This window comes from Homo sapiens, chromosome 7 (genome assembly GCF_000001405.40).
Source record: "Homo sapiens chromosome 7, GRCh38.p14 Primary Assembly".
NCBI classification, from domain to species: Eukaryota; Metazoa; Chordata; class Mammalia; order Primates; family Hominidae; genus Homo; species Homo sapiens.
The window spans coordinates 73,496,848-73,523,571 of NC_000007.14; the positions used below are offsets into that span (position 1 = coordinate 73,496,848).

The following is a 26,724-nucleotide window of genomic DNA, read 5'->3' on the forward strand; positions in this document are numbered from 1 at the left end:
TATACAGCCAGGCACAGTGCGTCATACCTGTAATTCAGCATGAGGCCGAGGCCACAAGGAGGTCCAGGCTGCACTAAGCTGTCATCACAACACTCCACTCCAGCCTGGGGGCAACAGAGTAAGACCCTGTTTCAAAAAAAAGAGGTCAAGGCAGGAGGATCGCTTGAACTCACGAGTACAAGACCAGCCTGAACAACATCGTGAGAACTGACCTCTACAAAAAAAAAAAAAAAAAACCTACAAAAATTAGCTGGGTGTGGTGGTGCATGCCTACGGTCCCAGCTACTTGGGAAGCTGAGGTGGCAGGATCGCTTCGGCCAGGAATGTCGAGGCTGCAGTGAGCCATGATCGTACCACTGCACTCCAGCCTGGGTGACAGAGCAAGACCTTATCTATGAAAAGCCAAAAAAGGACACTAGGACAATTAGCACTTTACTAGAGAGATGAACTAGCATCACATAAAATGACTGAGGTCACTTCAACAGCAACAGGAGGTCATTAGGAAATGATTACAGTAGTATAGTACGTACTACAGTTCATTTTATTGTTATTATTTAATACTGAATCTTCATATTTTTCTTGACTGAGAATGGTGCCAGGTATGGTCTGTGTAAGTTTTGATAAATTTTAACTTTTTATAATAGATTTCTGTATATATTTTATGGTAGCAAATGATAGACTAGTATCTACATGTATTTTATGCATTTATGACATACCTAACTCTTTGTTCTTTTTTTACAATATTTCTAGGTTACTCAGTTCGTCTCTGAGTTTCTTCAAACTGTCACAAGCCTCCAAAGAATTTTCCAATACATTCATTGAAAAAATATTGAGAGATGGGTTAAGTGCCATAAAAAAAAGAAAAAGAAAAATTCCATTCATATGTGGACCTGTACAGTTCAAACCTATGTTGTTCAAGGGTGAGCTGTACCTAAAACCATCACATTGGCTTATAATGTGAAGATCAGGGTTAGAATTTGCTCTTCCTACCTTGATCACCCCCCAATACATAAATACATATTTCCACTTCAAGACGAAAGGAAAGCAGACTTTCCTTGCCATCTTGAGTAGCTAGCAATGTGCACACAGCTTTTGTGTTTTGTTTTTTTTTTTTTGAGATGGAGTTTTGTTTTTGTGGCCCTGCTCTTGTGGCACAGACTAGAGTGCAATGGTGCGATCTCAGTTCACTGCAAACTCCACCTCCTGGGTTCAAGCGATTCTCCTGCCTCAGCTTCCCGAGTAGCTGGGATTATAGGCACCCACCACCACAAGCCGCTAATTTTTGTATTTTTAGTAGAGACAGGGTTTCACCATGTTGACCAGGCTGGTCTCGAACTCTTGACCTCAGATGATCCACCCTCCTCAGCCTCCCAAAGTGCTGGGATTACAGGCATGAGCCACGGCACCCAGCCCTGCATAGAGCTTTCTAAGCAACTAGAGGAAACGACTTCCCAATGGTCTTAATTATTTAGGGATATTCAAGTGTTTCATGTTGTGGACATTTTAGTTGTTCTATGAATCATAAATGAACAAAATCATGTCTACATAAAAAATCACACATTTAGTTGCTAGAGAACCCTAAAAGATGTGTTCATAATAAAATAAACAGGATCTCATAAAACACTAAGGAAAGCTAATATCAAACATACTAATACTCTCTCTCCTTCCTTCATCCTCTTTCACAACTGTCTCCTTCTTCTGATGGTCCTGAGCAATCTGACTGGAGTTCTCTTTGTCACTTGATGGAGAATCACAGGCACCATCAGATTTCTTCTCAGTGGCCTCTTCATCCACTTTCTCCAAAGGATGAATCTTCACAATCTTCACCTTGAGCATTTTCTCCTTCCCAACCTATAAAGGAGGTAGTAGAGAAAATCAGAGATAATAAACACCCAGAAACCTGAAGATGTTTAGAACATATCATCCAATATACATGCCTCCTCAACTAACAAAAGGTGATTGAAACAGTAAAGTATCCAAGTACAATGAAGTGTTTTCAACTTTTTTTCTCAGACTTCTAGGTTGAAATATGACAGCCTAAAAAAATGAAATAAATGATCACAATCTAGGTTCATGATTCATGTAAAATGCCAATATACAAGGCCAAAGGGCAATCACTGTACCAGCCTAAAATATGTGAATACAGTTCAAGAATTTACATTTTTGTATGTATTTACTTATTATTATTTTTTTTTTGAGACACAGTCTCTCTCTGTCACCCAGGCTGAAGTGCAGTGGTATGATCTCGGCTCACTGCAACCTCCGCTTCCTGGGTTCAAGCCATTCTAACCTGCCTCAGCCTCCGGAGTAGCTGGGACTATAGGCACGCACCATCGTGCCAGGCTAATTTTTGTATTTTTAGTAGAGACGAGGTTTCACCATGTTTGCCAGGCTGATCTCAAACTCCTGACCTCAACTGATCTGCTTGTCTCAGCCTCCCAAAGGGCTGGGATTACAGGCGTGAGCCACGGTGCCTGGCCTACATTTTAAAAAAAAGAAATCAACTGTATATGGATATACAAATGTTCCAGAACCATTTGTTGAAATAACACCTTTCTCTACTTAATTACCTTTCCACCTCTATCAAAAATCAACTGTGTAGGGCCAGGATTACAGGCATGAGCCACCATGCCCGGCCAGACCCAGGAATTTGAGGCTAGCCTGGGCAATATAGGGAGACCCCATCTTTACAAAATAAAATAAAATTAGCCAAGCATGATGGCGTGTTCCCATAGTCTTAACTACGGAGGAGGCTGAGGCAGGAAGATCGCTTGAGCCCAGGTTTTTGAGGCTGCAGTAAGCTATGACAGTGCCACCACACTCCGGCCTAGGTGACAGGGTGAGACCCTATCTTGGGGCATTAGAGGGCTGCGAACCACTGCTATGTCCTCTTGACAAACTGACTCATTTTTTTCATTATAAAATGACTTGCTACTTCTTTATCCCTGGTTATATTCTTTAATCTGAAATCTATCCTCTGATACTTACATAGCCCCTTCAGATTTCTTTTGACTTATGTTAACATGGCATGTATTTTTCCATTCTTTCACTTTTATTCTATGTGTTTCTCTCTTATACACAGCAATACCATTTGGTCTTGCTTTTTCTGCCCAAAATGAGTATTTCTACTGTTCTGTTATTGTTTTAAAGAAATGAGATTTTTGTTATGTTGCCGAGTCTGGCCTTGAACTTCTGGGCTCAAGCAATTCTCTCGCCTCAGCCTCCTAAGTAGCTGGGACTACAGGCACACACCACACCTGGTCAATGTCTACCCTTTAATTGAAATGTTTAGATTACTTATGTTTAATATAATTATAGATATATTTAAGGTTTATTTGCTTTTCTATTCAGCCTCAACAAAACTAAAAACTGCTCTTCAAAAAATACTGTTAAGAAAACAAAAACACTGGCCAGGCATGGTGGCTCATGGCTGTAGTCCCAGCACTTTGGGAGGCCAAGGTGGGTGGACTGCTTGAGCCCAGGAGTTCAAGACCAGCCTGGGTAACATGGTGAAACCTCATCTCTACAAAAAACACAAAAAAATTTGCCAGGCGAGGATGTGGTGCATGCCAGTGATTCCAGCTACTAGGGAGGCTGAGGTAAGGGGATCACTTGAGCCTGGGACGTTGAAGAAGAAGGGAGTTATGATTGTGCACCGCACTCAAGCTTGGGCAACACAGCGAGACCTTATCTCACAAAATAAAAATAAAAATAAAAAAACTCTACAAAGCTTTTCCAATGCTCATTAAGAGTTCAAACCAAGCCGGGCACAGTGGCTCATGCCTGTAATCCCAGCACTTTGGGAGGCTGAAGTGGGTGGGTCACCTGAAGTCAGGAGTTTGAGACCAGCCTGTCCAACATGGTGAAACTTCGTCTCTACTAAAAATACAAAAAGTAGCTGGGCATGGTGGCGGGCACCTGTAATCCCAGCTATTCAGGCAGCTGAGGCAGGAGAATCAGTTGAACCCGGGAGGTGGAAGTTGCAGTGAGCCGAGATCGCGCCATTGCACTCCAGCCTGGGCAACAAGCAAAACTCTGTTTATAAAAAAAAAAAAAAAACAGAGTTCAAACCATTTTTGCAAAGCAACCCTTATGATAAATCCAAAACCAAAAACAACAGAGTTCAAGGCCGGGCGCAGTGGCTCACACCTGTAATCCCAGCGCTTTGGGAGGCCCAGGCAGGCGGATCACCTGAGGTCGGGAGTTCGAGACCAGCCTGACCAACATGGAGAAGCCCCGTCTCTACTAAAAATACAAAATTAGCTGGGTGTGGTGGCGCATGCCTGTAATCCCAGCTGCTCGGGAGGCTGAGACAGGAGAATCGCTTGAACCTGGGATGCGGAGGTTGCGGTGAGCCAAGATCACGCCATTGCACTCCAGCCTGGGTAACAAGAATGAAACTCCGCCTCAAAACAAAACAAAACAAAACAAAAACAAAAACAACAGATTTCAAACCATGACCTAACCTTTGACAACCTGTACAAGATCTAGCCCTTGGCTACCTGATACTACCATTCCCACCATCCTCCCTCCTTCTGTAGTCCAACCACACTGATTTTTCTCTGTTCTTCCAGTACAATGGTTTTCCCAGTACAGTACAGGGGTAATTATGTCATACCTCTTTTCCTTTCTTTCCCCGAGACATATGGCAATGTCTGATTTTCACAGCTGAGAGGGTGCTACTGGCATCTAGTGGATAGAGGCCAGGTATGCTGCTGAATACCCTACAATGCACAGGACAGCACCCACTAGAATCATCTGTCCTAAAGTTTGTAATGCCAACGTTGAGAAACCCCGTTCCTGACCATCAAGTTCCCTTCTGTCTAAAGGCCTTCACACACCCTGTTCTCTCTCCCTGAAATACTCAATGCCCCCTTCTCCCATGGATATATCCTACTCAACCTACAGGCTTCACCTTAAATGTTGCCTCCTCAGAGGAGCTTTACTGGATCAACACCAATTCTGGTTCTAAGCTAGATTCCCCTGATTATAAACTTTAATAAATACTCTGTGCTTTTCTTTCATAGTTCTTATCAAGAATTTTTTTTTTTTTTTTTTTTTGAGACGGAATCTCACTCTGTCACCTAGGCTGGAGTGCAGTGGTGCAATCTTGGCTCACTACAACCTCCACCTCCTGGGTTCAAGCAATTCTCCTGTCTCAGCCTTCCAAGTAGCTGGGACTACAGGCACGCGCCACCATGCCTGGCTAATTTTTGTATTTTTAGTAGAGACAGGGTTTCACTATGTTGGCCAGGCTGGTCTTGAACTCCTGACCTCGTGATCTGCCTGCCTCGGCCTCCCAAAGTGCTGGGATTACAGGTGTGAGCCACCGCACCTGGCCTCATCACCAATGCTAAACACACAGAAACAACTGTGGATTTTGGTCACTACTGTTTTTCCAGCACCCAAAACATGCTATCTACATAGCCGGTCATCAATAAATATCTGGGATAAACCCCTCTATATTGGGACAATGTTTGTGGCACGCTTCCAATGTCCATCATATCTACTTTTTTTTTTATCACACTTAGAGTGCAAAACATTTTTATAAATAATGAACACCTGTGTACCCACCATACAGGTTAAAATACTTAACATTAATAGTGGCCAGACCCAGTGGCTCACACCTGCAATCCCAACACTTTGGGAGGCCAAAGCAGGAGGACTGCTTGAGCTCAGGAGTTCAAGAACAGCCTTGGCAACTTGGTGAAACCCCATCTCTACAAAAAATACAAAAATTAGCCAGTGCCTTTGGACTGTAGGATGAGGAAAAAAAAAAAAAATACAATTAGCCAGGCATTATAGCTACAGTCCCAGCTACTTGGGAGATTGAGGTGGGAGGATGGCTTGAGCCTGGGAAGTGGAGGTTGCAGTAAGCCAAGGTTGTGCCTCTGCACTCCAGCCTAGGCGACAGAGCCAGACCCTGTCTCAAAAAAGAAAAGAATATTAACAGTACCTCAGAATCTCCCAGTAAGCCTACGCACAGGTGGAAACAACTCTCTCCTCTCCTCCTGACAGTGATAACAAACATTCTGAGTTAGTTTTGCCTGCTTTGAGCCTTCTATAAATGTAATCATACTGTATTCTTCTGCGACTTCTTTCAAGTTCACATTTTTTCTGCTATAGAGTATTGTGTGGCTTAACAATTTGTTTATCCATTCAACTACTGATGGCTACCTGGGTTATCTCCTCATTGGACTACTATGAACAATTCTATTAATATACTTACACAGATTTCCTGCGGCAAAACTGAGGGTAAATACTCAAGCAAAAATCCTTAGTCAAAGGGTATGTATAATAACCAATTGTATTCAGCAATGCCGAGTGCTTTCCAAAATATATGTGCTATTTACACTATAAGCAATTCCACATTCCTGTCAAAACTTGGCAGCAAGTTTTTTTCTTTATTAATCTGATGTGTATACATTATCTCACTATGGTTTCGATTAGATTTCCTGCATTATTGATGAGTTTAAACATATTTTCATGTTTATGGACATACATACTTCCCTAGTATCTCTTCCCTTTCCTCTTTTTTTTGTTTTTGAGACAGGGTCTTGCTATGTTGCCCAGGCTGGAGTACAGTGGTGCGATCATAGCTCACTGCAGCCTTGAACTCCTGAGTTCAAGCGATCCTCTTGCCTGTCTTCCAAGTAGCTGGGACTACAGAAATGCACCACCATGCACGGCCAATTTTTATTATTTTTTGTAGAAACAGGGTCTCCCTATGTTGCCCAGGCTGGTCTCAAACTCCTAGCTTCAAGCCAACCTCCCGCCTCAGCCTCCCAAAGTACTGGGATTACAGGCAGGAGCCATTGGGTTCAGCCCATCTTTCCTCAAACATTTCTTCTTTCACCTTGCAGATGTGTGCAAAATATTTTCGTTTTGCCATGTCAATTCCATTTCCATCCTTCTCTACCTGGCTCTATGCTTAAATAGGCTGACCTTTACAGCCTCCACCAAGACTCCCCTTGCCCTCTAGATTCTGGTGAGTTCAGTTCATAGGGAGCATGAGCAGAAAACCAGGAGATGGAAGTAAAGCATCCTTGGGGTGTTTATTTCCAAATGCCTCCCTAGGAGGATGGTTACAGTTACAGTTTTCTCTCACTACCATAGTACTCTTCAACAACAGCAGCTACTCTTTTCTAGTTCCTGTACCCACTCCCTCCCTCTGCTTCCTTGGGGTTTAGAAATGATAAAGTCTTCCCCAACTGCTGATAGGTATGAGGCACTCAACCTTTCCTTGTTAAGTTTTCCTTAACCCTGATCAGACTGCTGTCTGCTGTCAACAGCCCCTTTATTAAACTCAATTCAATTACATTTGAGTATGCCATCTGTTTCCTGCCAGGACACTGACTGATATAAAGTATGTGATTAGAACCCACTAATGGTCAGCCACAGTGATTCATGCCTGTAATCTCAGCATTTTGCCAGGCCAAGGTGGGAGGATCATGCAAGTCCAGGAGTCTGAAACCAGCCTGGACAACATGGCAAGACCCTGTTTCTCTATAAAAAATAAAAAACTTAGCTAGGCGGCCAGGCGTGGTGGCTCACATCTGTAATCCCAGCACTCTGGGAGGCCGAGGCGGGTGGATCACGAGGTCAGGAGATCGAGACCATCCTGGCTAATACGGTGAAACCCCGTCCCTACTAAAAATACAAAAAAATTAGCGAGGCATGGTGGCAGGTGCCTGTAGTCCCAGCTACTTGGGAGGCTGAGGCAGGAGAATGGTATGAACCCGGGAGGCGGAGCTTGCAACGAGCCGAGATCGCGCCACCGGACTCCAGCCTGGGCGACAGAGCGAGACTCTGTCTCAAAAGAAAAAAAAACTTAGCTAGGCATGGTTTTGAGTGTCTACAGTCCCAGCTACTCGGGAGGCTGAGGTGGGAGGACTGCTTGAGCCTGGGAGGCTGAGGCTGCAGTGAGCTATGATCACACCACTGCACTCCAGTCTGGAAGACACAGCAAGACCCTGTCTCAATAAAAAACAAACAAAGAAACAAAAACCCCACTAGTACTGCCAGACATGACAAATAAAAAAGAACTAGCTAGGAGATAGAAAGGAGTCAGAGTAAATTATTGAAACAAAGAAAGAACAAGAACTTTGAAACCAGAGAGACAGGTGTGAATCTTGGCCCCATCAAGTACTGGCTATTGTAGCACAAACTGCTGCTGAGCTAGCTACCAAGCTATTCCCTCCCTCTTCTCTCTTGCCAGCCTGTCTCTTTTGAGACTTAAATACAAAGGAAGATACTCTCTTTCTCAGCCCCCGCTGCAGCTCTGGGTGGTTATGTAAGCCAAGGTCTAGCCAATAACATGTAAAGATAAAGGGTGGAGCTTTCTATTTTATGCTTCAAGAAAGATTTTTCCAGATATGCTTCTGGAAAGATTTTCTTAGCCTGCTTTGATAAGTATTCCCTCACTCTGAATACAGTCACATTTTTTCACAACTCAGGGGACAGCAAAGCTAAGGACCAGAACTCAACACACTGAGAAGAACAGAACAGAAAGACAGAGAAAGTCTAGGTCTTGACAATAGTATTCAGCCTCTATACCAAACTTGGAACTATCTAAGACTTACTACATGAGATAATCACGTCTGTCTTGTTTAAGCCAGTACTACTAAAGTGTTGTACCTCATGTAACAGCATCACTACCACCCTGCAGACTGTTAGAACTGAAAAATGTTAGGTCTATCCTAGACCTTCTGAACTCTCAAGGAATGGGCTGAAGAACAGTTCAAGCATGATGGAGAAGCAAATTAAACATTTGTCCTGAGAGGGAAAAAAAAAAAACAGTTCAAGCAATTCTCCCACTTCGGCCTCCCGAGTAGCTGGGACTACAGGCATGCACCACCATACCTGGCTAATTTTTGTATTTTTTGGAGAGATAGGGTATCGCCATGTTGGCCAGGCTGGTCTCAAACTCCTGACCTCAGGTGATCTGCCCACCTTGGTCTCCCAAAGTGCTGGTACTACAGGCCTGAGCCACCATGCCCAGCCAAGAACGCATTTTCAGTAGCTTAAGTATCACACCAAAGTTTGAGAACTACGGACTATTATTACAATTTCGCTACATAACGGCTGAAAGCACTCATAACTAGTATGTATCAACCTCAACATGTCATTTAAATGTACAAGGCTACCTACCACTTCAAGATTTCCGTGCAAATTCTGCAAGACATTATGTAAAGCAATTAGCCCAGTGTCAAGTACATACAGATAGATATTTAACAACTGTTTAGTTTTTTCTCCTGAATCTTACTTTCAGCTGTTACAAGATTATACAGGGATTGCTTTAGTGTTCGGTATCACTTTTGTAATAGTTATCCTTTAGCTATTTTGACTGGATAATTAAAAAACAAATAAGGCCGGGCGCACTGGCTCATGCCTGTAATCCCAGCACTCTGGGAGGCCGAGACAGGTGGATCACAAGGTCTGGAGATTGAGACCATCCTGGCTAACACAGTGAAACCCCGTCTCTATTAAAAATACAAAAAAATTAGCCGGGGGTGGTGGTGGGCACCTGTAGTCCCAGCTACTCGGGAGGCTGAGGCAGGAGAATGGCGTGAACCCAGGAGGCGAATCTTGCAGTGAGCTGAGATCATGCCACTGCACTCCAGCCTAGGCAACAGAGCGAGACTCCATCTTAAAAAAAAAAAAAAATTTAAGTAGAAAAAGTCCAACTCTCATTACAGCGAGGACTTGGATTAAACATGTCTGAGGCCGGGCGCAGTGACTCACGCCTGTAATCCCAACTCTGGGAGGCTGAAGTAGGCATATCACCCGAGGTCGAGAGTTCAAGACCAGCCTGACCAACATGGAGAGAACCCGTCTCTACCAAAAATAAAAAATTAGCAGGGCATGGTGGCAGGCGCCTGTAGTCCCAGCTACTCGGGAGGCTGAGGCAGGAGAATCACTTGAACCAGGGAGGCGGAGGTTGCAGTGAGCCGAGATCACGCCATTGCACTCCAGCCTAGGCGACAAGAGCGAGACTCCACCTCAAAGAAAAAAAAAAAAAAAGTCTTAAAGTCTTTTTTTTTTTTTTTGAGATGGAGTCTTGCTCTGTCCCCCAGGCTGGAGTGCAGTGGCACGATCTCGGCTCACTGCAACCTCCGCCTCCCAGATTCACGCCATTCTCCTGCCTCAGCCTCCCGAGTAGCTGGGACTACAGGCGCCCGCCACCACGGCCGGCTAATTTTTTATATTTTTAGTAGAGATGGGGTTTCACCGTGTTAGCCAGGATGGTCTCGATCTCCTGAACTCGTGATCCACCTGCCTCAGCCTCCCAGAGTGCTGGGATTACAGGTGTGAGCTACCACGCCCGGCCTGCAAGTCTTTTCAACATAGTAACAATTATGTGCTCACTTTGTCAGCACATATAATGAAACTGGAATAATATGGAGAAGATTAGCATGGTCATTGCATGGGTTGGGCACAGTGGTTCATGCCTGTAATCCCAGCACTTTGGAAGGCCAAGAGAATAGTTTAGGAGTTAGAGACCAGCTGGGGCAACATGGTGAAATCCCATCTCTACAAAACATACAAAAAATTAGTCAGGCATGGTGGCGCACACCTGTGGTCCCAGCTACATGGAGGGTGACATGAGAGGATCGCTTGAGCCCAGGAGGTAGAGGTTGCAATGAGCCAAGATCGCGAAACTGCACTATTCCAGCATGGATGACAGACTAAGACCCTGTCTCCGAAAAATAAAAAAAGAAAAGAAAAATCAAAACCAAAAAGACAAAATAACAGAATTATCAAAAAAGGATGAAAAAGACAAAGGACAGACCAGTACAACAAAGTGTTGCAATTATTACAATACTAAAACATTCTCAGTGATGAATGTGGTTCTAAAATTTGGTTCAAGGCCAAGAGTGATGGCACATGCCTGCAGTCCCAGCTACTCAGAAGGCTGAGGTGGGCGGACGGCTTAAGCCAGGGAGTCCAAGGCTACATACAGTGAGCTATGACTGCACCACTGCACTCTAGACTCTGTGACAGAACAAAACCCTGTCTCTAAACAAATAAATAAAAATAAAATTTAGTCCTTATAATAATTGATGGGAGGCCAAGGTGGGTGGATCATCTGAAGTCAGGAGTTTGAGACCAGCCTGGCCAAAATGGTGAAACCCTGTCTCTACCAAAAATACAAAAAACTAGCCGGGCGTGGTGGTGCACACCTGTAGTCCCAGCTACTCAGAAGGCTGAGGTGGGAGAATCACTTGAACACGGGAGAATGAGGTTGCAGTGAGCCAAGATTGCGCACTGCACTCCAGCCTTGGCGACAGAGTGAGACTCCATCTCAAAAAAACAAAACCAAGAAAACACACAAGTATTAACGTAAAGTATTAATACTTAACATTAAATATAATACTAAATATAACACAGTTTTACACACATAGAAATGTGTTCTGTAACCTACGATGACAGCTCTAATTCTGATGGTAAGTCAAATCAGAAACGAACAGGCACTCACCTCGAAGTCACACTCTTCTCCCACAGCATATTTGGTCATGATCTCCAACCAAGCAGTATCTACTAACTTCTCTAAGGAGGCTGTGTTATGGTGAACCATTTCCAGAACAAGCTTCTCATACCAGGCAGGAAACTCCTCCTTCAAACTAAATAAATGTAATTAGTTATCAAGAAAACACAGAAACACCTACCCAGAGATTTAATTCAAGTCAATTCAAACATTTCTTTCTTTCTTTTCCAAACATTTCAAACATTTATCGCTCTGTCACCAAGGCTGGAGTGCAGTGGCACAATCATAGCTCACTAGCCTCCACCTCCTGGGCTCGAACAATCCTCCTACCTCTCAGGTAGCTGGGACCACAGGCATGCACCACTGCACCTAACCTCTTTTAAGACTTAACTTTTGGGCAGGGCGCGGTGGCTCACGCCTGTATTCCCAGCACTTTGGGAGGCCGAGGCGGGTGGATCACGAGGTCAGGAGATCAAGACCATCCTGGCTAACACGATGAAACCCCATCTCTACTAAAAATATAAAAAATTAGCCGGCCATGGTGGCTGGTGCCTATCGTCCCAGCTACTTGGGAGGCTGAGGCAGGAGAATGGCATGAACCCAGGAAGCGGAGCTTACAGTGAGCCGAGATCGCACCACTGCACTCCAGCCTGGGCGACAGAGCGAGATTCCATCTCAAAAAAAAAAAAAAAGACTTAACTTTTGGCTGGGCGTGGTGGCTCACACCTGTAATCCTAGCACTTTGGGAGGCCAAGGCGGGCAGATCACCTGAGGTCAGGAGTTCAAGGCCAGCCTGGCCAACATGGCGAAACCCTGTCTCTACTCAAAATACAAGAATTAGCCGGGCGTGGTGGCACATGCCTGTAATCCCAGCTACTCGGGAGGCTGAGGCAGGAGAATCACTTGAACACGGGAAGCGAAGGTTGCAGTGAGCCAAGATCACACCATTGCACTCCAGCCTGGGCAACAGAGAGAGACTCAGTCTCAAAAAACAAACAAACAAAAAAAAACACTTAACATTTTACGAGTTTTAGGTTCACAGCAAAACAACACTGCTTTAGCAAATATACGTAAAGCACTGGGGAATACAAAGATTAAAAAAAAACATGCAGTTTGCTGGACACAGTGGGTCCCAGCACTTTGAAAGGCACAGGTGGGAGGATTGCTTGAGCCCAGGAGTTTGAGACCAGCCTGGCCAACAGAGTGAGAACCTGCCTCTATAAAAAACTAAAATAATTAGCTGGGTGAGGTGGCATGCACCTATAGTTCCAGCTACGTAAGAGGCTGAGGCAAGAGGCTGGCTTGATCCCAGGAGCTATGTGCATACCACTGCACTCCACCCTGGGCAACAGAGCGAAACTGTGCCTCTTAAAAAAAAGGAAACCAGGAAGCGTTAACATGTTGGAAACGTGACTTGAACACCAGAGCTGTTGCAAAAGGACAGCAATGATTTAACACTTTTCACTTATTAAACTAGCAAAAAAAAAAAAAAATTTAATTATCATACCCGGTTGGGTGCAGTGGTTCACGCCTGTAATCCCAGCACTTTGGGAGGCCGAAATGAGCAGGTCGCTTGAGGTCAGGAGTTCGAGACCAGCCTGGCTAACATGGTGAAACCCCATCTCTACTAAAAACACAAAAATTAGCCAGGCGTGGTGGTGAGCGCCTGTAGACCCAGCTACTCAGGAGGCTGAGGCACGAGAATCACTTGAACCCAGGAGATAGAGGTTACAGTGGGCCGAAATCGTGCCCCTGCATTCCAGCCTGGGCAACAGAGTGAGACTCCATCTCAAAAATAAAAATAAGAATAAGGGCCAGGCGCGGTAGCTCACGCCTGTAATCCCAGCACTTTGGGAGGCCAAGGCGGGAGGATCACGAGGTCAGGAGATTGAGACCATCCTGGCTAACATAGTGAAACCCCATCTCTACTAAAACTACAAAAAATTATCCGGGCTTGGTGGCGAGCACCTGTAGTCCCAGCTACTTGGGAGGCTGAGGCAGGAGAATCACTTGAACCCGGGAGGCGGAGCTTGCAGTGAGCCGAGATCGTGCCACTGCACTCCAGCCTGGGCGAGAGCGAGATTCCGTCTCAAAAAAAGAAAAAGCAAAAAAGAATAAACCACATTACCAGAGTACTTACAAGGTCAAAGTATGGAGCAGGAACACTCAAAGGCCTGGTAAATACCTAAACAAGTGCACCTATAACTAAATAAATATTCCATATTGCTACTGCAAAATGCCATTAGGCAAAGGAACCCAGAAACCCATACAGTACACTAATGTAATATAGTCTAATTTGTGCCCCATAAACTTAAATACACATACTGCTTTAGGGTTAATATTCCCTCCTTTCCTAACAATGTGAAGATGGTGGCAAAGAGCAATACTTCCATTACTTACAGCTCAGCAACTTCCTGTTCTTCCTCCCAGGCTTCCTTGTGTGTTAGCTGACTGCTTCCAGTACTCTTGCACGTCCAAATGCGCTCACTGTACCTTTCCAAGCGGGCTTCATACTCTCTGTTGGCAGTAGTTCAGGAAAACAATATGCAAGCAACAGAGACGACAAACCCATACCCATAAGATACTTATATACAGAAAAAAATCTAGTCTCCTTTTTAAAATGTGTAGCATGAGAGGATAAAAATGGAATTGGAGGCCGGGCGCAGTGGTTCACGCCTGTAATCCCAGCACTTTGGGAGGCCGAGGCGGGCGGATCACGAGGTCAGATCGAGACCAGCCTGGCTAACACGGTGAAACCCCGTGTCTACTAAAAATACAAAAAATTAGCTGTGAGTGGTTGTGGGCGCCTGTAGTCCCAGCTACTCAGGAGGCTGAGGCAGGAGAATGGCGTGAACCCGGGAGGCGGAGCTTGCAGTGAGCCAAGATCACGCCACTGCACTCAAGCCTGGGAGACAGTGCGGCTCCGTCTCAAAAACTAAAAAAAATAAAAAAAAATGAAAAAAATGGAATCAGGGCCCAAAGCAAGATGACTAAGACTGAAGTATAATGAGAATGGATTGTCATGGGCTGGGCACCTGCATGGGATTTACAGACTGGGATGATCACGTCTCTAATCTCAGCATTTTGAGAGGCCACGGCAGGACAATCACTTGAGACCAGGAGTTCGAGACCAGCCTGGGCAACATGATGAGACCTCATCTCTACAAAAAATAAAAATAAAAAATAATAAAAATGGTTTTTCGTGTTTTACAAAAAAAATTAATATTTTAGTACAAATGTGATTTCCTCAATTCACCAAAGTTTCATTACACAAGACTTACGCTGTACCAAAAACTCATAAGAAAAAGTAAAGGTACATTAAAACACAAGTCATAAAAAATAACAATGTAAGGTAAGCAAAATTTTCAGAAAACTCAGACAAGTTTAAGAGTCAGTCCACCACTGCCAGGCGTGGTGGCTCACGCCTGTAATCCCAGAACTTTGGGAGTCCGAGGCAGGCAGATCACCTGAAGTCAGATGTTCGAGACCAGCCTGAGCAACATGGAGATACCCCATCTCTACTAAAAATCAAAAAAAAAAAAAAAATTAGCCGGGCTTGGTGGCACATGCCTGTAATCCCAGCTACTCAGGAGGCTGAGGCAGGAGAATCACTTGAACCTGGGAGGCCGTTGCAGTGAGCCGAGATGGCACCACTGCACTACAGCCTGGGTGATAAGAGCGAAACTCCACCTCAAAAAAAAAAAAAAAAAAAAAAAAAAAAAGGAATCAGTCTACAGTAAAATGAGGTGACTAGGCCACAGTCTCACAGGCAGTTTGGAATAACCTTGAGCATACATTAATGATCCATTTACCCACAGCCCTCCAGTCCACCTTGGAAACATGTTACTTCTTAGGGTTTACAAGCTTGTCCAACCTTTGTCCAACCTGCGGCCCAGGACGGCTTTGAACACAGCCCAACACAAGTTCATAAAGTTTCTTAAAACATTATGAGTTTTTTGTGTGATTTTTTTTTTTTTTAGCTGATCAACTGTTTTTAGTGTTAGTGTATTTTATGTGTGGCCCGAGACAATTCTTCTTCCAATATGGCCAAAAGATTGGCTACCCTGGTTTAAAAAATAAATTTCATAAAATACTTAGAAGTATTCCGGAAAGTACTTTTGATATAATATTTATCCAGTCTCTATGATGTCTCCAATAATACTGAGATTCAGAAGATCATTTACTAGCCGTTTAGACAGTCTTCGTGAGGGAGACGAGGGAAAGAAAAACATCAAGTTGGTAGTGTAAATATGGCAACTTTCCACACAAAACCAACTGGAATTCACCATCAGCCAGCCACTTCCAAATTCAAACGGCAAGTAACTAATTTACTTTTAAGCACAGCAACAGATGCTATGTAAGAAAATCAACTGACATAAGTAGAAAGTTAGTGAACAATACCTGTATATTCCAAGTGACACATTTTATAGTGGTTGAAATAAAAGTATTTAAACAGTTTCCTCTACAATACTATCTAACAAATAAACAAATATTCTAATTTTTGTTTTTTGGAAACAAGGCTGGCCTGTATCTCCTGAGCTCAAGAGATCCTCCTACCTTAGCCTCCTGAATAGCTGGGATTACAGACTTACACTGCAGCATCTAGCTCATTTTTATCTATTTATGTATTTATTTTTGACACAGGGTCTCACTCTGTCACCCAGGCTGAAGTGCAGTGGTGGGATCATGGCTCACTGTAGCCTTGACCTCCTGGGGTCAAGCAATCCTGGGCCTCAGCCTCCTGAGTAGCTAGGACTACAGGTGCACACCACCATGCCCACCTACATTTTTTATCTTTGCAGAGTCAGGGTCTCACCACATTGCCCAGGTTGGTCTTGAACTCCTGGGCTCAAACAGTCCTCCTGCCTCAATCTCCCAAAGTTATGGGATTACAGGTGTGAGCCACCACGCCCAGCCGCATGTTTAATAAATATAGATGCTTGGTTTTCCAAGGTTATGATCAGCAAAAACGCAAACAAGAACAAACCCACAGGTAATCCAAAATAGTAACTTTATGCAATAGTATAAGCACCTTTGCTCATTGTGGATCTTTCCCCAGATCTGCTAAAACTGAGTAATAAATCCATTTTCCTTACAGGGGTGGTGCTAATATCTAAGTGATTAAACAAAATATATAGAATGTTTGAGTAAAAACCTGAGTCAGACTTCCATATACAGATATGTAAATCCAATCACCGAAAAATTTTCAAACTTATACCCAGAGAAGAGCAACGGAACGGCTTCCAGAGGACATTATCCCAAGACGGATTTGTCTTATTTTTGTCTACTGAACTAGGGGAGTGGAAGGGATGGGTAGTAAAATAAGGACAGAGGAGGAATCAGTAAGTGGACTTATTTAAGCTTTCAAAAAGCTTGATAACATTCTAACACATTATTTAGCCATATTTAAGAAGCTCCAACAGGCATGGTAGCTTACACATGCAATCCCAGCATTTGGGAGGACAAAGTGGGGGGATCTTGAGCCCAGGGGTTCAAAACCAGCCTGAACATAGCGACTTTACAAAAAACTATTAAAAGAAAAAAAAAAACTCACTGTGTCATCAGAGAGAATGTAAGAGAAATACATTAACAAATATGTCTTAAAGAGAGAACAGTAAGTTTTTATTATTACAGGTTGAGGATCCCTTATCCAAAATGCTTAGAACCGGGAGTATTTTGGATTTTGAATTTCTTTCAGATTTTGGAGTATTTGCATTATACTTACTAGTTCAGCATCCCAAATCCAAATATCCAAAATGCTCCAATGAGCTCTTCCTTTGACGATCATGTTGGGGCTCAAAAACTTTCAGATTTTGGAGCATTTCTGATTTATGGATTTGGGATGTTCAACCTAGAGTTGTTACTTTAAAAAGCAGGGGCCAGAAAAAAACAAAACAAAAAAAAGTAGGGGCCGGCCAGGCACAGTGGCTCATGCCTATAATCCTGGCATTTTGGGAGGCCAAGGCAGGTGGATCACCTGAGGTCAGGAGTTCGAGACCAGCGTGGCCAACATGGTGAAACCCCCGTCTCTACTAAAAATACAAAAAATTAGCCAGGCGTGGTGGCGTGCGGCTGTAATCCCAGCTACTCGGGAGGCTGATGCAGGAGAACTGCTTGAACCTTGGAGACGGAGGTCGCAGTGAGCTGAGATCATGCCATTGCACTGTAGCCTGGGCAACAAGAGTGAAACTCAGTCTCAAAAAAAAAAAAAAAAACTGCATAGTGGCAGTTTATGAGGCCCAGGCACGAACATCGCTCAAGCCCAGGAGTTCAAGAGCAGCCTGGGCAACATAGCAAAACCCCATCTCTATTAAAAAAAAATTAGTTGAATGTGGTGGCACAGGCCTGTAGTTCCAGCTACTCAGGGATCTGAGGTGGGAGGATCACTTGAGCCCAGGAGGTGGAGGTTGCAGTGAGCTGTGATGGAGAGCAACAGAGGGAGACTGTCTAAAAAAAGAAGATTAGCCCGGGCATGGTGGGTCACGCCTGTAATCCCAGCACTTTGGGAGGCTGAAGTGGGTGGATCACGAGGTTAGGAGTTCAAGACCAGCCTGGCCAAGATGGTGAAACCCTGTCTCTACTAAAAAACTAGCCACGCATGGTGGCGGGCGCCTGTAATCCCAGCTACTCGGGAGGCTGAGGCAGAGAACTGCTTGAATGAGGAAGGCGGAGGTTGCAGTGAGCCAAGATCACACCGCTGTACTCCACCCTGGATGACAGAGTGAGAATCTGTCTCAAAAAAAAACAAAAAACCTCCAAACTCACACAATCACGACGAACTCATCACACCTTCTCTGCCAAGAATATACAGTCCTCTATTATTCGTCTAAATTCTAATCATCCTTTAGATCTCAAAAATAACTTTTCCCAGAAAACATTCATTGAACCTTCAAATATGATAGATTGTATTAGTTTCTAACTATTCACCTCCTTTCCATAAGAGGATTTTTACATCTCCACCCACTGCCATGTGGCTTGTCTACAAGGTCCCTGAAGAGGAATGTACCTCCCCTCTTCATTAACATCAAGCTTGACCCCGTGACTGGTTTCGACCAATAGATGTGAGCAGATGTAATATATGTCACTTCCCGGAAGAGGCTTAAAGTCATGATGTCTTCTAGCTCTTTCTTTGTGCCACTAGCAAACTAGCAAGCAAGACATGTCACACACAGGGTCTGCCCCTCCAGCCTTGTTCCTTTTTTTTTTTTTTTTTTTTTTTTGAAGCAGGGTCTTGCTCTGTCACCCAAGCTGGAGTGCAATAGCACCATCTCGCTTCACTGCAACCTTTGCCTCCTGGACTCAAGTGATCCTCCCACCTCAGCCTCCCAAGTAATTGGGACCACAGGCAAACGCCAGCATGTCCAGCTAATTTTTCTATTTTTTTTGTAGAGACAGGGTTTCATTCACTGTTGTCCAGGCTGACCTCAAATTCCTGGGCTCAAGCAATTCACCTGCCTCAGCCTCCCAAAGTGCTGGCATGAACAACCATACCAGGTGTCAGCCTTGGTCTTAAAATGAGAAAAATGTGGAAGGGTGTGGTGGCTCACGCCTGTAATCCCAGCACTTTGGGAGGCAGAGGGGAACGGATCACTTGAGGCCAGGTGTTCGAGACTAGCCTGGCCAACACGGTGAAACCCCGTCTCTACTTAAAAAGTGCAAAAAAGGAGCCAGGTGTGGTGCACGTGCCTGTAGTCCCAGCTACTCGGGAGGCTGAGGCAGGAGAATCACTTGAACCCAGGAGGTGGAGGTTGCAGTGAGCCGAGATGGCACCACTGTACTCCAGCCTGGGCTACAGAGCGAGACTCCACTCAAAAGCAAAGAGAAAAATGTGGTTTTCTTTTTTATTATTTATTTATGTTTTTGGAGATGGTGGTCTCACTACATTGCCTTGTCTGGTCTCAAGCTTCTGGGTTTAAGGAATCCTCCAGCTTTGGCCTCCTGAGTAGCTGGGACTACAGGCGCACACCACCACATCCAGCTGTTTTCTTTTTTCCCACCATTTTTTTCTTTTTTTAATATGAGAGTACTACAAAATTTTAAATTACATATGGCTTACATTATACTTTTGTTGGACAGCACTGAAACCTGAAGTATACATCTCAGAAAATGTCCTCTGACAGTATTAACTTAAAATTAATTGCCTAGTCAAACTGATTATAAAATCTGGGGCCAGGCGCGGTGGCTCACGTCTGTAATCCCAGCACTGTGGGAGGCCGAGGGGGTGGATCACTGAGGTCAGGAATTCGAGACCAGCCTAGCCAACATGGTGAAACTACTAAAAATACAAAAAATAGCCAGGCATGGTGGCAGGCGCCTGTAATCCCAGCTACTTGGGAGGCTGAGGCAGGAGAATTGCTCGAAGTTGGGAGGCGGAGGTTGCAGTGAGCCAAGATTGCACCATTGCACTCCAGCCTGGGCGACAGACTGTGACTGTCTCAAAAAAAAAAAAAAAAAAAAAAAAAAACAACTGTAAAAGAATTTCCTACAACCCCTAACAACGGCTATTTTAAGTTTGTGTAACTGTTCTGGTAACTGTTCTGGTAATTATATTAAGAGAAAGCAAGGCTGGGCATGGTGGCTCACGCCTGTAATCCCAGCACTTTGGGAGGCTGAGGCCGGTGGATCAACTTGAGGTCAGGAGTTCGAGACCAGCCTGGCCAACGTGGTAAAACCCCATCTCTACTAAAAATACAAAAAATTAGCCAGGCGTGGTGGTGGGTGCCTGTAATCCCAGTTGCTTGGGAGTCTGAGGCAGGAGAATTGCTTGAACCCAGGAGGCGGAGGTTGTAGTGAACCAAGATCGCACCACTGCACTCCAGTCTGGGCGACACAGCAATAACCCAGCTCAAAAACAAAAAAAAAAGAGAGAAAGTAAGGCCACACACAGTGGCTCATACCTGTAATTCCAGCACTTTGGGAGGCTGAAGCGGGAGGATCACTTGAGGCTAGAAATCCAAGACCAGCCGGGGCAACTTTGCAAGACCTCGTCTCGTCTCTACAAAACATACAAAAATTAGGCGTGGTGGTGTGCACCTATGGTTATAGCTACTCAGCAGGCTGAGTGGGAAGAATCACTTGAGCCTGGGAAGTTGGAGGCTGCAGTAAGCCATGATCACACATCACTGCACTCCAGCCTGGGCAACAGAGTGAGACCCTGTCTCAATAAATAAATGAATAAGAAAAAAAGGGAAAGCAAGAAAAAAAATGAAAATGAAAAGGCAAAAAGGCCCATCAGAAGGATATTGAGTCAGCTGCCTCTAAATCCTATTTCAGATTTTAGGTTACCAAAATAAGTCACTCACTCTCAAATAACCTCTCAGAGCAAATGCCAATTGAGGTTTTTATGTTCCAGCAACTGCTGCACATATAATTGCAGACAAAATGTCAAAGCAATTCTCCAAAGGTTGTGTAAGCTATAAAAGATAAGATATTTTCGAATCCTAGACTATCTCATTATGTATCTACTTTGCCATCAGCTACCTCCTTATCACAATATGCTGCTGCTTTGTTCTCTTCAGTCTTGCAGGGATTGTTTCTTTCAATTAAGTACTTGATATCCTGAAAAGATGTGGCCCAGATAAGTATAGAGTCAAACAAGCATAACTGTAACTAACCTAAGTGCTCTAAGTCAGAAGATGGCAAAGAGTGAGCCAACTCAAGATTTGCTTTTTACTCGATATTCTCTCTTACTCGATTTTTTCTCTTAAAGACTCCAGACTGTCTTTAAGTTAAAAACAAGTCTAATATGGCATAACGTATTACTTTAAAGAATGTATAAAAATCAGGCTGGGCGCAGTGGCTCACGTCTGTAATCCCAGAACTATGGGAGGCCGAGGCGGGCGGATCATAAGGTCAGGAGATCAAGACAATCCTGGCTAACACAATGAAACCCCATCTCTACTAAAAATACCAAAAAAAAAAAAAAAAATTAGCCAGGCGTGGTGGCGGGCGCCTGTAGTCCCAGCTACTCAGGAGGCTGAGGCAGGAAAATGGCGTGAACCCGGGAGGCGGAGCTTGCAGTGAGCCTAGATCGCGCCACTGCACTCCAGCCTGGGCGACAGAGCGAGACTCCGTCTCAAAAAATAAATAAATAAATAAATAAAAATAAAAATAAAAATAAAAATCAACGTAAGAGCTCAGTATTCCAAATGTCCAGTAAAACTCTATCTTACAACTACAACTTAACTCCATCTATAGCTACTCAACTCTTAACACATGCTCTAAGGCAGACGCAGTAGTGCGTGCCTGTAGTCCCAGCTACTCTGGAGGCTGAGGCAGGAGGATCTCTTGAGTCCGGTTCAAGGCTTCCCTGTGCTACCACCTCGTCTGTGAACAGCTGCTGCACTCCAGCCTGGGCAACACAGCAAGATTCCATCTCTTAAAACAAAACAAAAACATGCTCTAGTCACACTTGTGTAGAGCCAGATTAACAGTATGAATAAGCCCCTCATTATCATACCCTCAATAAATTCTCACATAATGATGCTACAAAGGTCGTGAACTAGTTATTTCTAAGCTTTAGAAACTATGACAGTTGAAGTAACACAACAAAAATACTCATCTACAACACGCTGCTTGTAGCTCCAATTCCTGCCTAAAACCTATCTTGACTTAAATACAGTCAGTGTCACATCAAGAACTGATTCTGATAAAGTTAGTGTTTTCCAAGATCTAGTGTCCTGCCTGTGGGAATACCTTAGGAAGTAATGTACCATACAAAGCTACAGTACAATCAACATAATCACCAATATTTAACACCTAGTCATTAAATGTGTGCATTACTCACAACTTCCACTAAGTTTAATGAAGATTCACAATATACTCCAAGAACATACCAACATACAGCTTTAAGTCAGTAAAATATCACACAAAGTTCTGTGATACATGCAATCAAAAGGTAGGTATTAAAAGAAAATTAAAATATCAAGTCCCATTAAAAACATAATTGTAAATATAAGTTGAGAACTGGGAATACTACTTCAAAGGCAGCTGTTACCTAACCACATATTTGTTCTCCTCTATGAAACCACTAATAGCCTAATAAAGAAATATGCCAATCTGCCAACCATACAGTACAATTGTTTAAAAACCATCCTCAAAGTGCTTCCACTTGCAGAAATTCCCGAAAGAGCAATTTCCCCCCAATATATAATATGTTTTAAGACTTCTTTTGTTAAAACAGTTTTAAATGCTGTTATGGGAAATTAAAAAATGAAGAATGTTTATTAAATACATACCACTTAAAATGTTTCCGGTTTCAGTTTTAAATTGTTACCATCAAAACTCTTCATATATATATTTCAATTTCATTCATTCAATAATATGAAAAAGCCTGCGTTGCCAGTCCTAAATTAACTTCCTACAGCCATTTTTTACATAGCTCAGTACCTGAAATATACTTAGAAATTGTCTCTTCTCTATGGCATGTTTCTTATACTCTGCTAGAACCAGACCTGAGAAAGTATCATCTGAAAGTGTGTGAGCATCCATCAACGGCTCAAAACATTAATGACATTGGAAAAGTATATGTCGGATTCTCACAAGTTGCTACTCCACTGCCGATTCGAATGTATTAAAAAGTAGGGTACTGGCCAGGCGCGGTGGCTCACGCCTGTTAATCCCAGTACTTTGGGAGGCCGAGATGGGCGGATCACCTGAGGTCAGGAGTTTGAGACCAGCCTGGCCAACATGGTAAAACCCCATCTCTACTAAAAACACAAAAAGTTAGCCGGGCGTGGTGGCACGCGCCTGTAATCCTAGCTACTCAGGAGGCTGAGGCAGGAGAATCACTTGAACCCTGGAGGCGGAGATGGCAGTGAGCCCAGATCGTGCCACTGCACTGCCACCTGGGTTAACAAGAGGGAAACTCCGTCTCAAAAAAAAAAAAAAAAAAAAGTGGGGTACTTCGGTATAATGCAGTATTTGGTAGAGCTAGTGGAACTTCTCCAGAACATTCCAAGTCTTCACAGGACAAGAAAAAAACCAGATCACCACCCCTCCACTTTAAAGTGCCTTACCTTATACCATAATGACAAAAAAGTGAGGTAATATTTAAATTAATTGAAAGTGAAGGAGTAACATTCCACCTTCTTCTGTTGATTGACTTACAGGGATGAGGTAGGAAGAGCGGTGGATTCTACTCCTCTTTCATCATTTGACCTTCAACAAGTCAACCTCCACTCTCTGGGCCAACTCAGCAAACCAAGCCCGAGGACCCGACCACCTCCAAGATCCACTTCAGCTCCAAGATGCTACAGCTCTATTTCTCCAAGAGCCTTCCTCCAGCATGGACTGATTTTCCAGGCCCCTTTGTGTGTATACTCCCCACAAAGGGACACTCACAAATTGCACTCCAACAAGAATGAGATTATCCTCTAAAGTACTGCGTTAAAGTGAGGATCAGGGAGAAATGAAATAACTCTGAGAGACACTTCCTCCTATACAGAAGCAAGCAAGAAACTGAGAAATGAAGTCCTTCCGAACAGAAGGGGCTGAGAAAACTCATAACACATTAGCCTTCACTCTTAAAGCTTTCAGTCACCAAAGAAATGCTTGATTCCGAAATCGTTTTTGTTTTTTTTACAGATAAGCCTCAAAAACGATTCTTCTGGCACCCATTAAAAAAAAGCAAATAAAAGCTGCACAACTTTTCACTAAAAGATAATGCTTATGCAAGAAATCTTAGTCATGACGAGAGGATGCTTCCTTTGTAAAACATCCAATTTCATGTTCCTAAAATACAACATAAAAACTTCACGTCTTGGTTTTTTTGTTTGTTTAATTTTAACAAATACCAATCTCCTTCTAAACCTTCAAAATTTCAAACCTGTGTCTGCCCAGGGAAGGCAGGCATCAGCTCCTCCACAGGCAGTTTCCTTCCCTCCCTTTCCTCTAAGCGGGGAATCTCATTCCTAGTTTTCTGCCCCAGGGTCCTGTCAGTTCATCCCCGGCCTAAAGTCCCCTCGGGAGACGAAAAAAACGCCAAGTATCCCCGCAGAGATCGGGGTAAGACGCAGTTGAGTCTTGCACACGCCGCATCACGAGGCCGCGCGAGTACAATTTCAAAACTTAAGCTGCAGGTTTCATTTAAATTTTTAAAAAATTTTTGTAAAAATTAAAGGAGAAAACCTAGCTCCCCCTCCCCACGCCTCCTCCTCCCTCTCGGGTCCTCAAGGCCTAAAGCCAACCCGGGGAAGGTAATGGGGATGGGGGATGCGCTCCTCGCCGGCGAGGCCCCGGGACAAAGTGCGGGGCCCCGGGGGCGGCCGAAGCGGGCCCTTCTCCTTCCAGGGCCGGTGCGCGCCCCCCGCCGGATCCCCTGGAAGGATCGGCGGGCGCAGGCTGAGACTCAGCCTCCAGGCCCGCGAGCGGCCGGGGCGCGCTGACAGCTGCCCCGGGCCGGGGATGCGCGGCTGACCTGGTCTCGCGAGCCCCAGGCCCTACCCCGGCCCAGCCCGGCCCAGCCCGGCCCGCGCGGCTGGAAAAGGATACTCCCGGGTGCGGAAGGCCTCCTGAGTGTGCGGGATGGTGAAGAGCGGCTCCTCTCCGGGCAACGGCTTCACCAGCGGGAAGGGCTTGCGGCCCAGGAGCGGCGCCATCGCGGCGGCGGCGGTGGGGACTGGCGGCTGCTGGGGCCGGCCCCGCGGCGCAGCACTAGGCCCCGCGGCCCGGAGCGAGCGCCAGGCGCCCGGGGGTGGGGTGGGGGAAGGGAGGGGTGAGAGGGCGGCGCGAACTCCGGCTCCCTCACCGCCGGCGCGGCCGCGCGACAGTCATGGAGCGGAACGCCACGGCGCAGAGCTCCCGCGCACACCGCCGCGCCTCCCAGCAGCCCCCCGCCGACCTCCGCTTCGGGTCCCGGCGGCCGGCAGTCACGACTCCTCCTCAGCAGCACCGGAGGAAATTATTGAAAAATGGCGGGAGATTCCCCTCCTCCCCCGGGCCCGGCCAACGCACACACTAACTTGCTCCCCCGTGGCGCCGGTGGCGAATGCTCCAATAGGCGGAGAGCTGGTCAGCGCTCACAGCCTATTGGCTCGGAGGAGCTGCCGCTCCGCGCCTGGGTCCCGCCCCCCTGCCCCTGTCGCGTAGTTGGGTTGCAGCGCACTAGAGGGCAGTCTGAAGAGGTGAAAGGTCACGTTATGTAAGCGCCCGTGATAGGCGTGCGGGCCTCCGACGGCAGAGTTAAAAGTGGGGGACAGCGGGGGATGGAGAGGACGAGAACTCAAAGAGGTCAAGCCGGAGAAGCCCCTCGCATATACAGATACTGCGCCATCTGTCACCGACGGCGACACCGACATCCGGGCACCACTGTCCGTGTGGTGCGCCGGAGGGGGAGGGTGAGCGCGCGGCCAGGGGCTTTGTCTTTCCTCTTGGGCGCCTCCCCCTTCTTAAAGGCGCCGTGCTCGGCCACGCCCGGGGATGCGCGGGTGGGGCTGGGCTGCAGGGAGGGGTTGGCGGGAAGTGGCCCCGGGAGCTTACCCTACCAAAGGTTCTGCGGAAGGACAACGTGGGGGCCAGCTTTGCTCACCCCAGAGTTAACTTCTGGGCGGGAGTGTGGTTGAGATCTGGGTAGAAGTATACTGCTTGTTTCTAGGGGCTGGCTGGAAAGTAGAATATAGAAGCTTCTTTGGAGAAATAGATTAAAAGACGTACTTAGTTTTTTGGTTTTTGGTTTTTGTTTTTTTTGAGACGGAGTCTCGCTCTGTCGCCCAGGCTGGAGGGCAATGGCGCGATATCGGCTCACCGCAACCTCCGCCTCCCGGGTTCAAGAGATTCTCCTGCCTCAGCCTCCCAAGTAGCTGGAATTACTGGCGTGCACCACCACGCCCGGCCAATTTTGTATTATTAGTAGAGACGGGGCTTCTCCATGTTGGTCAGGCTGGTCTCAAACTCCCGACTTCAGGTGATCCGACCGCCTAGGCCTCCCAAAATTATCATTATTTTTTTTTTTGAGACGGAGTTTCACTCTTGTTGCCCAGGCTGGAGTGCAGTGGTGCAGTCTCGGCTCACTGCAACCTCTCCCTCCCGGGTTCAAGCTATTCTCTTGCCTCGGCCTCCCGAGTAGCTGGGACTACAGGTGCGCGCCACCACACCCGGCTATTTTTTGTATTTTGTAGAGACGGGGTTTCACCATGTTGGTCAGGCTGGTCTCGGACTCCTGATCTCAGGTGATCCACCCGCCTCGGCCTCCCAAAGTGTTGGGATTACAGGCGTGAGCCACCACGCCCTGCCAGAGC

At 45.4% G+C, this 26,724-nt stretch overlaps 1 protein-coding gene and 1 pseudogene across 3 annotated transcripts in view, besides 4 other annotated features; one reads left to right on the top strand and one right to left on the bottom strand.

Annotated features, from left to right (window-relative positions):
- The window catches only part of BAZ1B (bromodomain adjacent to zinc finger domain 1B), an 81,888-nt gene extending 56,442 nt beyond the window's left edge, over positions 1-25,446 (bottom strand). For all 3 annotated transcript variants that reach the window (NM_032408.4, NM_001370402.1, XM_047421016.1), the window contains exons 1-4: positions 24,980-25,446; positions 13,889-14,005; positions 11,480-11,624; positions 1,650-1,851 (exon numbers count right to left, since the gene is read on the bottom strand). In NM_032408.4, the coding sequence (NP_115784.1) occupies positions 1,650-1,851; positions 11,480-11,624; positions 13,889-14,005; positions 24,980-25,086 (571 nt within the window). In that variant the 5' untranslated portion in view covers positions 25,087-25,446. The remainder of the gene's footprint in view (positions 1-1,649; positions 1,852-11,479; positions 11,625-13,888; positions 14,006-24,979) is intronic.
- On the top strand, positions 10,361-10,427 carry RNU6-1198P (RNA, U6 small nuclear 1198, pseudogene; annotated as a pseudogene).
- Positions 18,976-19,475: an enhancer, noted in NCBI's record as "H3K27ac hESC enhancer chr7:72930153-72930652 (GRCh37/hg19 assembly coordinates)". NCBI's record gives its function as "activates a minimal SCP1, AML or CMV promoter by ChIP-STARR-seq in naive H9 embryonic stem cells {active_cell/tissue: H9 hESC(naive)}" and the evidence as "EXISTENCE:reporter gene assay evidence [ECO:0000049][PMID:30033119]".
- Positions 24,690-25,569: a silencer, noted in NCBI's record as "silent region_18248". NCBI's record gives its function as "represses an Ori minimal core promoter by ATAC-STARR-seq in GM12878 lymphoblastoid cells {active_cell/tissue: GM12878}" and the evidence as "EXISTENCE:reporter gene assay evidence [ECO:0000049][PMID:35858748]".
- Positions 25,630-25,789: an enhancer, noted in NCBI's record as "active region_26123". NCBI's record gives its function as "activates an Ori minimal core promoter by ATAC-STARR-seq in GM12878 lymphoblastoid cells {active_cell/tissue: GM12878}" and the evidence as "EXISTENCE:reporter gene assay evidence [ECO:0000049][PMID:35858748]".
- Positions 25,920-26,059: a silencer, noted in NCBI's record as "silent region_18249". NCBI's record gives its function as "represses an Ori minimal core promoter by ATAC-STARR-seq in GM12878 lymphoblastoid cells {active_cell/tissue: GM12878}" and the evidence as "EXISTENCE:reporter gene assay evidence [ECO:0000049][PMID:35858748]".